Source organism: Homo sapiens, chromosome 20 (assembly GCF_000001405.40).
Source record: "Homo sapiens chromosome 20, GRCh38.p14 Primary Assembly".
In the NCBI taxonomy this organism is placed as follows: Eukaryota; Metazoa; Chordata; class Mammalia; order Primates; family Hominidae; genus Homo; species Homo sapiens.
The window spans coordinates 56,392,311-56,406,362 of record NC_000020.11 but is presented as its reverse complement, the minus strand read 5'-3'; the positions used below and the strand labels follow the sequence as shown (position 1 = coordinate 56,406,362).

General features: G+C 41.3%; 1 protein-coding gene across 4 annotated transcripts, besides 1 other annotated feature; it reads right to left on the bottom strand.

Moving 5' to 3' along the window:
- Positions 1 to 13,984, bottom strand: CSTF1 (cleavage stimulation factor subunit 1). Of its 4 annotated transcripts, none has more exons than NM_001033521.2 (6): positions 13,825 to 13,984; positions 10,642 to 10,842; positions 8,879 to 9,156; positions 8,522 to 8,719; positions 7,006 to 7,396; positions 1 to 2,895 (listed from the first exon to the last, which is right to left on the bottom strand). In NM_001033521.2, the coding sequence occupies exons 2-6, from the start codon at positions 10,808 to 10,810 to the stop codon at positions 2,636 to 2,638; spliced, it is 1,296 nt and encodes a 431-aa protein (NP_001028693.1). In that variant the 5' UTR covers positions 10,811 to 10,842; positions 13,825 to 13,984; the 3' UTR covers positions 1 to 2,635. The 4 variants fall into 4 exon arrangements, with proteins under 4 accessions (NP_001028693.1, NP_001028694.1, XP_011526902.1 ...); NM_001033522.2 differs by lacking the exon at positions 13,825 to 13,984 and adding an exon at positions 13,548 to 13,718; XM_011528600.2 differs by lacking the exon at positions 13,825 to 13,984 and adding an exon at positions 13,624 to 13,718.
- Positions 13,763 to 14,002: an enhancer, noted in NCBI's record as "active region_18142". NCBI's record gives its function as "activates an Ori minimal core promoter by ATAC-STARR-seq in GM12878 lymphoblastoid cells {active_cell/tissue: GM12878}" and the evidence as "EXISTENCE:reporter gene assay evidence [ECO:0000049][PMID:35858748]".

Sequence of the window (14,052 nt, the reverse complement as noted above, 5' to 3'; positions counted from 1 at the left end):
TCATTGTATATAAAGTTTATTTCAGAAATCACGTATCTTAAAAAAAAAAAACACACAGAGGGTATAAGTTCGTATCCTGACCAGATATTCATTATTTGAATGGCAGAGTGTTGTGTGGTACAATTAACGAGATGCAGATACTAAGTCCATATAATATTCCTGGCATTTACACCAGGCTCACAACACTGTGACCTTTAAAAAGCAAAAAAACCAAAAACCAACCAACCAAACAAACACAAAAAAAACAAACCCACAAAAAATGAAAAAACAGCTACTTCTGAAACACATAAAAGTATCTTGATCTTTTAAAAACAGGTCCTGAAACTACAGATCCATTGCTGAGACTACTCGAAAAACTGTAAAACATGGGCATTATTTTAATTCGTGAACAACTGAAAAGATTCAATGGAGTGCCATGTGGTCATTTTAGTATGTGAGTCAAAGCAGAATAATAGGGAAACATTAAATCTCTCCTTTACAGTTTAAGAGGTTGAAAGCAAAAGGAAAGTCTGAAAAAAGAACAGGGGAGGTTTGGTTGGTAATGTTTTTGGTAGAACTGGTTATCCTTGTTCGTATTTAGTAGGTGCCTTTTAGTCTTACGAGAGTAGCACCCACAGATGGCCAAGTTCAAATATCAAAGAATCAGAATGCAAAGTACAACTGGAAATTCACACTGGAATTCAACTGGAAATATGCATCAAAAAATATGGCTCTTTGGAAATCTGAGCTAAAACCCTGTGATGTAACATGTTAAGATGCTTAAGACAGTTTTACAGATCAAGGAGTTAAAACGATCCTCAAGGATGACTAAAACAGAATGTTTACGCAATAACTTCAGTAACTTCGTATGATGGGGCCGCGCGTGGTGGCTCACGCCTGTAATCCTAGCACTTTGGGAGGCTGAGGCGGGCGGATTACCTGAGGTTGGGAGTTCGAGACCAGCCTGACCAACATGGAGAAACCCCGTCTCTACTAAAAAAAATACAAAATTAGCCGGGCATGGTGGCGCACGCCTGTAATCCTAGTTACTCGGGAGCCTGAGGCAGGAGAATCGTTTGAACCCAGGTGGCGGAGGCTGCGGTGAGCCGAGATCGCGCCATTGCACTAAAGCCTGGGGGACAAGAGCGAAACTCCGTCTCAAAAACAAAACAAACAAAACAAAACAAAACAAAACTTCCTATAATATAAAGCAATGACTTTTACTTCAATCTATTTACTATTTTTATCAAATGATCCCAGATTATATTTCTAGGTACTCCTATGCAGATCATAAGGTATTTGTTTTTTGGGATAAATATAAAGCAAAGTTTATGTTTGTACAAGGGGAGTTCAGAGTTCTCTGACTCTGCTAGTGCTGAATCCAGAGAAGTACTGTCATGTTCTAAAAAGCTTCAGGAAGGCTGGGCGCGGTGGCTCACGCCTGTAATCCCAAAACTTTGGGAGGCTGAGGCAGGCGGATCACGAGGTCAGGAGATAGAGACCATCCTGGCTAACATGGTGAAACCCTGGCTCTACTAAAAATACAAAAAAAAAAAAAAAAAAAAAAAAAATTAGCCGGGCGTGGTGGTGGGTGCCTGTAGTCCCAGCTACTTGGGAGGCTGAGGCAGGAAAATGGTGTGAAACCAGGAGGCGGAGCTTGCAGTGAGCTGAGATCACGCCACTGCACTCCAACCTGGGTGACAGAGCAAGACTGTGCCTCAATTAAAAAAAAAAAAATTCAAGAAAAAGAAAACTTGTATCAATTGGTTAACTGCATAAATCTTCTGAGAATGCAGTTACTATGTGCCTCCATGATGAGAAGTTAGTTCATGCTGACGAGAACTGAAGACTTAAAACCACCTAAGAAAGAGGTCAATCGATACTAATCATTCGTGAAGACAGGCAACACCTGAGAGCAATAGCAGGCTGACCTAATTTAATTAGATCGGATATATTTTCAATTGTTTCTCATGAAATCATAATCTTACCAGAAATACAGTTACTAAAGACAAGTATTGCAGATATTGAAGGATAATGTAGGGAGTATGTTGAAAGATACTGTTCCTATAAATTGTCAGGAAAAACTGGCCATTAATTTTACAGAAGTGAAAAATATATAACAATAAAGTTGCAGATCTGAGCTTTATTATCAGAATAACATCATTTCAGGATAGAATTGAGGGATTCTTGAAAATGCTTTTGATAATGGCATAAAACTCAGGAGTCTCAGAGCTGCATGCCTGCTTATCTGTTCAAATATACCTGGAAGGGAAATACACAGAGGGTTCAGCAGAATAAGCAAGAAAGTTGACAGAAGAACCAAATGAAAATTCCTCATGTCAAAAGCACTTTAATGCCCTATCCTCCTTCAATCAAGAGATCAAAAGAAACGGCAAGTCCTGTACTTACAAAACCGATGAAAATCACACTGTAATAATCAGTGAATGTAGAACTGCACAGATCTGTGTTTCCAACTTTTTCCACCATGATTCTACATCAAGGTAAAAAAAGATTCTTTTATACAAATCCAAGAAGAATGTGGACAGAGGTGGCAGCAAAACGTCAAGGATGGTGCACGGACTTACGACTGCAGCTGAGACAGGACGTGGGGGAGGAGGGTAGAGTCCTCGAGAAAGAACCCTACGGAGAGGGTGGCTCAGTCAGTGGTCGATCTCCGGTACCAAAACCGCGCTCTGAAGTCATCGCTGCACGTCATGAACCCGGGGTTGGTGGGGGAGTGCACTATGCAGCGTACAATATTGTTGTGCCCCAACGACAGCAGGTTTCTCCGCTCGGCTGTCCTCGAGTCCCAGCAGCAAAGACTGATCGTCCTCTCGTCGGGCAGCAACACATAGTCCTCGGTGTGGTTAAACACAGCCTGTGTCCGGTGCACCTGGCGTCCACTTAAACCCGCGCCTGCCACAGAGAGCAAGAGGGATAGCTTTCTAAGTCCACATCTTAGACCCTCAGAACGTTCTAGCATTCAATGTAAAAGCATTTTAAACCTGTTGCAGTGATACACCTTGTACACTTTCAGAAACTCTAAAAAAGTACAAAAAAGAAAATCAAACCAGGCACAGTGGCTCACGTCTGTAATCCCAGTACTTTGGGAGGCTGAGGAAGGAGGGCTGCTTGAGCCCAGGAGTTCAAGACCAGTCTGGGCAACAGGCAACAGAGCAAGAGCAAGACTGCATCAGGAAAAAAAAAAAGGAGATCACCAGATCACCTGAAGCAATACTGTTACTGTCCTAATGTACTTTGAGGCATAAAAAAACACATTTTAAAAATACATATAAAATTGTTGCCACTATATTTTTCTATTATAGTTTTAACCAACTTTATGCTGAGTACATTTTTCCATGTTTTTTACTAGATGCAAAGTGCCTCATGTTTAGAAGCCCCATTACTTATTTAACAATTCTTTTGTGTGTGATCTTTTTTTTTTTTTTTTAGACAGAGTCTCACTCTGTCGCCAGGCTGGAGTGCAGTGGCGTGATCTCGGCTCACTGCAACCTCCGCCTCCTGGGTTCGAGTGATTCTCCCGCCTCAGCCTCCCAAGTAGCTGGGACTACAGGTGGACACCACCACACCCAGCCAATTTTTGTATTTTTAGTAAAGACAGGGTTTCACCAGGTTGGCCAGGATGGTCTTTATCTCCTGACCTTGTGATCCACCTGCTTCGGCCTCCCAAAGTGCTGGGATTACAGGTGTGAGCCACCATGCCCGGCCTGTTTAACAATTCTTTTACTTCCTGACATTTAGTTTATATCAATTATAAGTAATGTTGTAATGAACATCCTTTGTACAGAAAGCTTTATTTCCTTAGGAGTAAATTCCTAGAGACAGAATTACTGAGACAAAGTATATGAATATCTACTTTCCAAAAGGAAGCCTTTTTATGACTATAAATTACATATTTTATGTTTAAAAGTACCAAATAAAGTATAAAAAGGAAAATAAAAACTGCCTAATAATTGCACCCATCAGAGGTAACAGTCAATACTTTGGTGAATACTCTTTCGAAATATCTAAGTGTTATGTGCTCACTTGTAAATTCTCTCTTTTTTTTTTTTTTTTGAGATAGAGTCTTACTCTGTTGCCCAGGCTGGAGTGCAATGGTGTGATCTCGGCTCACTGCAACCTCTGCCTCCTGGGTTCAAGAGATTCTCCTGCCTCAGCCTCCTGAGTAGCTGGGATTACAGGCATGTGCCACCACACTCAACTAATTTTTGTATTTTTAGTAGAGATGGGGTTTCACCATGTTGGCCAGGCTGGTCTCAAACTCCTGACCTCAGATGATCTGCCCACCTTGGCCTCCCAAAGTGCTGGGATAATAGGTGTGAGCCACAGTCCCTGGCTTCATTTGTAACTTCTTTAAGTCAGAGCATTTGTCATATACTATTAATATTCAAGCATATGTAGTGCAGATCTGTAAAGACAGAATACAGCTTAGTGGATAAAAACACAAAGTCTGTGTGGTCAGATGTGGGTTCAACACTAATGTGACCCTGGGCAAATTACTTAACATTCCTCAGCCTTAATTTTCTCATCTGTTCCATGGAGTAGTTACAGAACCTACCCCATAAGGCTGTGAGGATTAAGAATAAGAGAATGCAAAGGAGGCTCTGGAGTGCGAGTGCTCAGCCCATGTTAGCATGCATACTTATTTTTAAAGGTGTATGTTGTCCATGGATGCGTAACAGATTTCCTCAGTGCTTCTTATTGGACATTTATGCTGTTTCTAACTTTCAGCCACTCCAAATGATGTTGGGACACACATCCTTTTATGGGCATGTGCATGTCTGTCCAATTACCTCTTTAGGTTGAATTTCTAAGAGTAGATATAGTGGGTCAAAAAGCGTGTATTTAAAATTTTGATATGACACCAAACTGTGCTGAAATATTTTACCAGCTGACTCTGACCAACAAAATATGATTTCCCGAAATCTCTATCAATAGTAGATAATATAAATCTTTAAGACTCCTGAAATCTGATTAACAAAACCAGGTCCCCATATTCATTTCTTGGGTCTGCAGCAAGGCTGGCCACCTTTTCTTACATTTCCTGACCATTTTTCTCTTCTGCAGCCCCCTGTCCTTTGGCTCCTTTTTTCTCGAGTTTGGACTCATCTTTTTCCCATATGAGTTCTCTTTATAGATTAAGGATGTTAACTCAATGTCTAACATCTGTATATATGCTATAACCATTTTCTCCCAGTCCTGTATGTTATTTATATTGTTTTTAATTTTTTGCATCCCAATTTCTAAAGTTTTGATAGTTTTTCCTTTTTCATCATTTCAAAAACCCTCTGAATTCTAACTAATTATTATTATTATCATTTTTTGAGACGGAGTCTTACTCTGTCGCCCAGGCTGGAGTACAGCAGCGCAATCTCGGCTCACTGCAACCTCCACCTCCCAGGTTCAAGCTATTCTCCTGCCTCAGCCTCCCAAGTAGCTGGGACTACAGGCGCCCGCCACCAAGCCCAGCTAATTTTTGTATTTTTCATAGAGACGGGGTTTCACCATATTGGCCAGGCTGGTCTCAAACTCCTGACCTTGTGATCTGCCCACCTCGGCCTCCCAAAGTGCTGGGATTACAGGTGTGAGCCACCGCGCCTGGCCCAAATTCTAACTAATTATTAAAACTGGGAACAGAAATCTTAACATGCTGACATGACAGGCGCTTGACCTGTGAAATGAGAAAAAAGGAAAAGGGGAATCTGTGCATAAATTCAGCATAATCACATTTTTGAAAAACCACACTGCTATTCCCCACTAAAACAAGCCAATCAACCTCATACTATTATAAAACACCCAAAACATTCCTAGAGCAAATATATAAGCTATTGTCAGTAGGCTGGTGTGTATCTGTCCAGATACAGCACACTCCTTAAAACAGTTATAACTTCTATAGGGGGAGTACTTTCACATTTACCCTGATCACTTTTTTATCTTCTTTTTGCAACAAACACAACTATTATAAAGTAGTTCTTTATAATAAATACTTTTCAGAACAACTTTATACAAGTGTTTCAATGAAGTCACCAAGAATTATGATAAAAATGGCTCTTCCTAAGATTTGCTAGTGGTACCAGAAGCCAGAAAGATGGCTGGGGAAGGGAACTTTGGTTACAATGAGACAAATCTAAGGCAAGTTATGCTGCCCCCTAGTGGGTCAGATGTCACTGACTCTTCAATGCAAACTTAAACACAATCCAGTCCCTTCCAATACTGTTTTCTTGTGATTTTTTTTGAGTTATGCTCATGCCAATTTTAGTGTATGATACAAACATATCTCACAATGGAAGAAACAATCAGAAATTTTCTGGAGGTTTTCTACCAAACAACAGTCTTTGCTGCTACAAGGAACAGAAGACAGTGTTTTAACATTCATTATCAAATAACCAGACTTGGGCCCTACTAGTGATAGGATAAATTTAAATGGATTTCATTATAAAAAGACTCCACAGGCACTACTGTTACCAATGAGACCAACATACATAAATGAGAATTCAGTGGATGCAATTTTTTTCTGTCTGCTGAGCCTACTTTATATCTGCATTCAGAATTAACGTGGTTTCCTTTGCGGGCTAGGTCTGCTCTCTTAGGAATGGGATAAGATCTTCCCTCTCAGCCATTCTTTCATGAATACATATATTAATAATACTGAGATCTACTATTGGAAACTTTTCTCTGGATTGCTTTCACATTTCTGTGGGAAGAGGGCATGCCAGTCTACAAATGGATCACCAGGTTCTCAAATGTTACTTGCATGGAATCCAGCCCTAGTCCACGGTGTGAGGTGCTCAGAAGAGCAAAGAAAGCACCGTTCTATTTCCAAGTCGTGTAGCCTTGGCTAAATGACTTAACCTGTAAGTCTTGGTTTCCTCTTATCTAAGAAAGGGTAACATCTGCCTTGCTCAATGCATAGATATTGTGTTGCTCTATTGTGAGGTCTTAAAAGAGAGTTCTGGAAAGTGTAAACACTACAGAAATGTTAAGTAACATCAACGTCTCACATACCCGTGTATCTGACCAGTGTTCGTCCCGTTGATATTTCCCAAAGTTTAGCTACAGAGTCTTTTCCACTTGAGAGAATGTATTTAGAATTTTTGGAAAAAATGGCAGAACAAACTTCAGCACCGTCATGTGCTTTCTCAAAAGTTGTGATGCATCGATTTGAAACACCATCCCATAATTTGATGCAGCCGTCCTTGCTTCCAGTTACGTACATATTGGCACTAGAATTGTAATTAACGGAACATATAGCATCGGTGTGTTGATCTTGAGGATTGCAAGAGACAAAACATTGAAAGGTGTTGATATCATAAAGGCGAAGAGTAGGATGCTGAGTTCCGACAAGTATAAAGTCTCCAGAAGGATGAAAAGAGATGGAACGTAACATTTCAGCTTCCTGTTGGGACAGAGACATTAATACAAGTGACCAACTGGTGAACAATTAAATCCAGAGGAAATGTGGAAAATATCTGGCTGATGAAAAGAATCTATAAAACAATTATTAGATATTACACAGGTATCATAAGAAAAAAAGTGCTTTCTGGAACATATGAAAGTATTTTTTGAATAGATTTCCAAAACTAAATATTTACTGGTTATATTATTCCAAAAACTACAGAAGTGAGCTTCATTATTTACAAATGAACACTGAGTAAACTAAGGATGGAGTATTATCAGACAATGACACATTCATGCATGGTTAACTGAAGTACAACTTGTACCTAAGAGCTTCTTTAATTTGCTCTAGGGCTGCAAATATTGAGTGAAAAATTAAGTTTATTATTATTTTTTTCAGACAGGGTCTTGCTCTGTCGCCCAGGCTGGAGTGCAGCGGCATGGTCACAGCTCACTGCAGGCTCAACCTCTTGGGCTCAAATGATCATCCTTGCCTCCGCCTCCTGAGTAGCTGGGACTATCGGCGCGTGCCACCATGCCCAGCTGATTAAAAGAATTTTTTGTAGAGATGAGGTCTCACTACATTGCTCAGGCTGACCATAAACTTCTGGGCTCAAGTGATCCTCCCACTTTGGCTTCTCAAAGTGCTGGGATTACAGACATGAGCCACTGCAACCAGCCTAGTTTAATTATCAAACAGACAGAAGCCACAACTAAAACATTAGTATTTCTGCAATGCATATTCAAAATAGGGTACCGAATGTCACCTTGCCAGGAAATACTTAATACTTTCAAATGAACTTTTTTTTTATTCCTCTAAGTTATATATTAGTGAAGCTGGTCGTGTTTTGTTTATAACAGGGATCTACAACCTTTAGAGAGTGATATGGATTCCAAACCCTCCAAAGGGTCAGATTATAAACTCTGACCAGCCAGAGGGAGCAGGTACATGATAGCATGTGATCTATGTGCCAACAAAATCTGATCCATGTGCCATCGGGCATGCATCCTGGTCTGTACGCATCTTACAGGATGATCACTGAGACTACTTTTAAAAAGAGAATAGTTGTACAATAGCTCATTGTATTTAAGAAAAAATGTAAAGCTCCTTTCTAAAGATTCCTACCTGAATGTATTTGAAGGCTCTTTTTGCTGATGGTTTGGAATAATCAAATAATTTAAGAGTATAATCCCTTGAACCAGAAGCCAGGATCTGTTCTGTTGGGTGGAAAGCAAGGCACGTGACTTCATCCACATGGTCATAAAGAGTTCGAATCACTGGGTGGTTTTCCATATTTTGTTGTGCGGTCTCATTCATCATGACCTAGACCAACAAGAAGAGATGCTCAAGGCACAGAATGTGTCTGAATCCAAGTGCACAATCCACAACTGTAGCAAACTAAAGCTGGTTTCAACCATACTCTCATTTTTCCAAAAATGAAAAACAGAAGGCAATCAATAAGTATGTGACTGGAATTTTTACCTCTATTGGCATGGCACTTTTGGCCAACATCCTCTCTGTGTCAAGTATCTTTATCGAAGCATCAGCAGACCCAGTAGCTATTAACTGTCCATCTCTACTATAGGTAGCTACACGGCATGGTCCTTTATGTGATGTGACATAGCATGTTTCGTACTCAGAAGCCTCTGGGGACATAGTCTGAACATCTGCATCAAATTCCAGGTCAATCCCTGTGCCAGGGGCAACAGTATCTGAACGACCAATTGCATACTGAACTGCGGTGTCATCGTTTTCCATTCCTGAAAGAAATCAAAATTAAGGGCGTAACAAAACAAGTGTTTTTTCTTAAAAAGGCCAAGATAAAATTCTAGATCCAAACTGGAAAGATGCTCACCAGTGTCAACCTCCTATTTCTTGGAGCCGCGTGACACCTAACACTTTACAAAACTGTGTATTTTGCCCATGCTATTCAAAGTTCACCACGCTGTGAGGCCACATGGGTTGCTGGAAGGTTAGGCTCCAATAGACAAAGTCATTTCCCCAGGTTCTTGCCTCCAGAGTTTACTACTTTATCTACAACTACAGAAACTCAAAAAATAGCAGTTCTGTAGTTAAATTATCCATTTTTTTCCATTCCAAATTTTAATATTTTTAGGGTTGAGATATATTAGCAGCTCTGATGCTCGTTAAGTTAGCTACATTGTTAACATGAATGCTAGTGAAATGTTTTTGAAATAAAGTTATTTAAAAAAAACTGGTTTATCAAGAATATGCATTTAAAATTTATAAATAACTTGACAAATCAAATAATATGTTGATTAGTAGAGGAAAAATTAACACTATGGATGAACAAGAAAATAAAAATGACCTTGAATTTTACCACCCAGAGATAATAACTGTTAACGTATCGGTATAAATTCTTAGGGATCCTTCCCCGTGCACGGCTGTTTTATTTTTCAAAACAGTAATAGAGCAATGCTGTGTAACATGTTGTGACTCACTTGTTCACTTAATCAAGCAGAACAAAAGTGTATCTTGGCTAATAAATATTCATCTATATAATTATGTTATAGTATTCACTTTTATGGATATTTAAAAATTTACAGCTAATTCCATGTTGTTGGCATTGCAGTTTGTCCATTTTATTTCCCCAGGAGAAATGCTCACAATTGGCACTGCCAAGTCAAAGGGTATTAACATGTTTGGTAATTCAATATTTTATTGAGTGCTTTCTATTATTAGCCAGGTAGGCTCCAGGATATACTGCTGAATAATACAAGGTCCTGATCCTTACTCAACTTGTAGTCTTTTTTGACAAGGGGGCAGCAGTAGGTGGGAAGTGTGGAGGTAAGGATCCCATGGGAAACAGCCCAAATGATAAAGGAAATTTCAAAACAACTGTTATAAAACAAATGGGATCGCTATGGCAGGGTAACCGGGAAAATGCACGAAAGGGTCGGATTATTTTAGGAGGAGTTAAGAGAACTCAGATGACATTTGATGTAAAATCTGAAGGAAGTCAGTAATATGTCTGACAGAGTGTTCCAGATAATGTGTACAAAGACCCTCAGGCCAGAACCAGCTTAAGGTCTTCATAATCTGAACTTTGCTTTACCCCTTACTTACTGAGCTACTTCCTGAACTCATGCTGAACTACTTACTTACTGAAGTACCCGGCTCATACTAGGTACTGAAACAAAACAAGAATAATCTTGAAAAATTCTGCCATATGAAAATATCTAAAACCTTGCCATGGGACGTATGGATTTGTGTTCACAATCTACCGAGTTTGATGAGATGCAGGAGCTGCTCCGAGGGTGCACACACAGACTGAGGCTTGATTTCATTGATGAGGCCATTGGCGATGCTGATGTAGCCGTCATATAGCAGCTGGCTAATGATCAGCTTGTAGAGCTGCTGGCGGTCCTTCAAGCCCACTTTGGTTCTGTACATCTTGGAGAAAAGGAAGACAGTTTCCCTGCCAGCTGCAAAAACGGAAAATGGACGGTGAAGGGTACAGGCTCTAGTAAATCACAGAAGCAACATAGGACTCTTTGGTCAGACTTAATCTTGCAGGACTCAAATCCCATCTCTACTAGCTGCATTATCTTTGGTCAGTGACCTCATTTCTCTAAGCCTGAGGTTCTTCAGCTGTTAAGTTACTGGAAGTTAAACACGGTGGTGCATATAAAGCCCTGAGCACAGTGCCTGGCATACAGAAATTGTTCAAGTCATGTTAGCCAGTGTTTACGGTACAATCTCTCACCAACTTTTCTTCTCCACCAAACTAGCTACCTATGATTTTTGTTCTTTATTGTTATCCCAGAATCTTCCATTACTTCTGTTAATTAAACATTGACTGGTACCTGCAATATGCAAGATAGCTGCTATTTTGTCAAGATCTAGACTGCTGGTTCCACTAGCTGAGCTGTATGTTTACTAATCTTTTATGCTCATTCTCAAAACCTGTTTTAAGGCAACTGAGCTTGTTACTGTAATTATATAATCTAATTAGACAGTAAATCAAAATATGAAGCAAAAAAAAGCAACTGTACTACAAAAACTCCAACCGAGTTAAATGCGTTAGAAAGGCTCAAAGGTGAGCTGCCCAATAAAATATTGCCAATCAAGGTCAAAACAATAAAAATGAAAAAAAAAACAGTAATAATCGGGAAGGATTGTGCATGCACTGACTTACAAGTGTCTAAGTTTTCCTTCAGTCTTAAGAGACAAAAAACTGTAAATGGTTTCTGGCTTATTCAAAAAAGAACTCCAACTGTTCAACATGATAATTTGCTTACCAAAAATCAATGCCTTTATGTATGTGTATGTTTGGACCAAGATTAAAAGGCTACAGGTGTCTGGGGACAGCAATAAAGAATAAAAGTGACCTCAGAGCCTGATTTCTTTTTTCTTTTTGAGACGGAGTCTCGCTCTGTCGCCCAGGCTTGAGGGCAGTGGCGCGATCTCGGCTCACTGCAACCTCCGCCTCCTGGGTTCAAGCTATTCTCCTGTCTCAGCCTCCCGAGTAGCTAAGACTACAGGCGCCCGCCACCACACCAGGCTAATTTTTGTATTTTTAGTAGAGACGGGGTTTCACCATATTGGCCAGGCTGGTCTCGAAACTCCTGACCTCAGGTGATCTGCCTGCCTCCGCCTCCCAAAGTGCTGGGATTACGGGCGCGAGCCACTGCGCCTGGCCCAGAGCCTGATTTCTTACACACTGTATGACACTGATGGTGTTAATAATAACCAATAACATTAAGCACTTCCTGCATGCCAGATACCGTCATGCTAAGTACTTTGTAAGCATCAGTTCACTGAATAAAATCATTCAATGTATTCAAGTATATGAAGTAGTACATGAACATAGTAGGTCTATGCTTGAGTAGAAAATCCTGGGACACAAATAAAGATGATGAAATGGGTTCAAGGAGGTCAGGACACCTACTCAACGTAAAAAGTGGCTGAGTTACTTGTCCAAGGTTAAAGCACACCAGAATTGCCAACTCCAGATCCCTGAGCTTAACCACTGAAGGAGTTCAGGAAATGCCAGCCCAAAACAAGATGCTTTGGCGGGCTGATTACCTTGAACTGAGGGCACCTGGAGAACAGCAGGCGGGAAGAGGCTTTCCCTGTGCTTTCCTTACCTGCCTAAAGTCTGACCCTCCAAAAATACCTCAATTGTCACGAATCCTTATAAACCAGGGAAGATTAACTCGGATCACATGAGAGATTAGAGGCTGACACCACCCAGAAGATCACCTATTCTGTCTGCATAACAAACTTGATTCACCATACATTTCCTCCGTTCACCGTCCCATAACTTGTGTTAGAGCTGCTTCCCGCCCCCCGCCCCCAATTCTCTATTCATTCCTTTCAGTAGCTCAGGATGCCATGTAGGCTTTAATCATCTGACTTCAACTTTTAGTCTCGTATTTTGTGGGACTCCTGTACGTAATTAAATATCGTTTTTCTCCCATGGACAATGTTCAGTTACCCGAAAAAAATGGGAGATTCTTAAGTACCAATAAAGAATGAAAATCACAAGTGGGTAGTCTGGCAAAGAAAAGTTGATGAGAGATTCTACTGTTAACGTTGGGTTAATATGACTCGAATAATTTCCGTATGCTAGCTCAATGCTTTACATGCACATCCTGTTTACCCTGCAGTAATCTGTTAATTCGTCTTATGTGAATTTAACTCTTAGTCCTAATAAGGTACCTGGAAGGATGGAGGGAAGCCATTTTTGGTTCCCCTACACCACTGTTCTATCCGGTCTCTTCACTTCTGCTGAGCACATCCCGGGTGTACATACACACACACACACACACATATGTGTGTGTATATATATGTATATGTGTGTGTGTGTGTATATATATATATATTTTAAGTGGCCCACCCCTAACTTCTCAACTCCCACAGAACGTTCACTCGCCAGGTAAACAGAAGCCTAATTATCCCCAATTTGCAGGTGAGCACACGAGGACAAGAACCCGATCCAGGACCGGATACATCGCAGTTGGAAAGGCTAGAACACAGATGCCCCCTCACTATATGCGCCGCGACCATCTGGATGCAGAGGCGAACTAAGGACTGGGTGGGAATGGAAGCGAGGCCCTTCGAGAAGAGGAAGGGGTGCAGGCCAAGCCGGGCAACTTAGGAAACGCAAAGTAGAGGCGCATGCCACCTTGCTAACTCTCGACTCTTCCAGTCTCGCCCCAGTCGTTTCTGTGGTTTTCTCTAAATGCCCCAGCCGACCGCACCAGCTACTCTCCCCGTGTCCCAGTACCAGCTGGTCCGGTTCTCTTGGTATCCCGCTCTCTCCTGGAAAAATGGAGGCGCGAATCCTGCCCAATCTACCGCTCCGAGCGCACGTTCACTGCGCACGCTGAAAGGGCGCCAAGCCGACCGCTGCGCTATCGATCGGTCCCACTCTCTCTTGCTTTTCTCGCCATCTTACTTACTGGCACGTTCAAAGGTTAGTTCACCTCCTTGGACTTTATCTCCAATGCGTCAAGCTTGACGTCAAGGGGCTGTTGCTTCACCGATAAATGGCCGACCGCGGAGAGCACCCTGGGGCTGGGACTGCCACAGGTCTGGCTGGCCGTTGGCTCCACCACTTCCGGGTTCTTAGGGAGCAAGTGCGCCTGCGCGCGGTGTGCGCCCTTAAACGCGACTCAAGGCGTCGGGTT

Bases quoted from the DNA above. Each gene is read 5' to 3' on its own strand.
- CSTF1 (NM_001033521.2), bottom strand. From the start codon at position 10,810: ATGTACAGAACCAAAGTGGGCTTGAAGGACCGCCAGCAGCTCTACAAG. The intron at 7,397-8,521 runs GTAGGAATCTTT...CTGTCCCAACAG, and splicing joins GAGCCTTCAAATACATTCAG to GAAGCTGAAATGTTACGTTC. The intron at 2,896-7,005 runs GTATGTGAGACG...TCTCTGTGGCAG, and splicing joins AACACTGGTCAGATACACGG to GCGCGGGTTTAAGTGGACGC.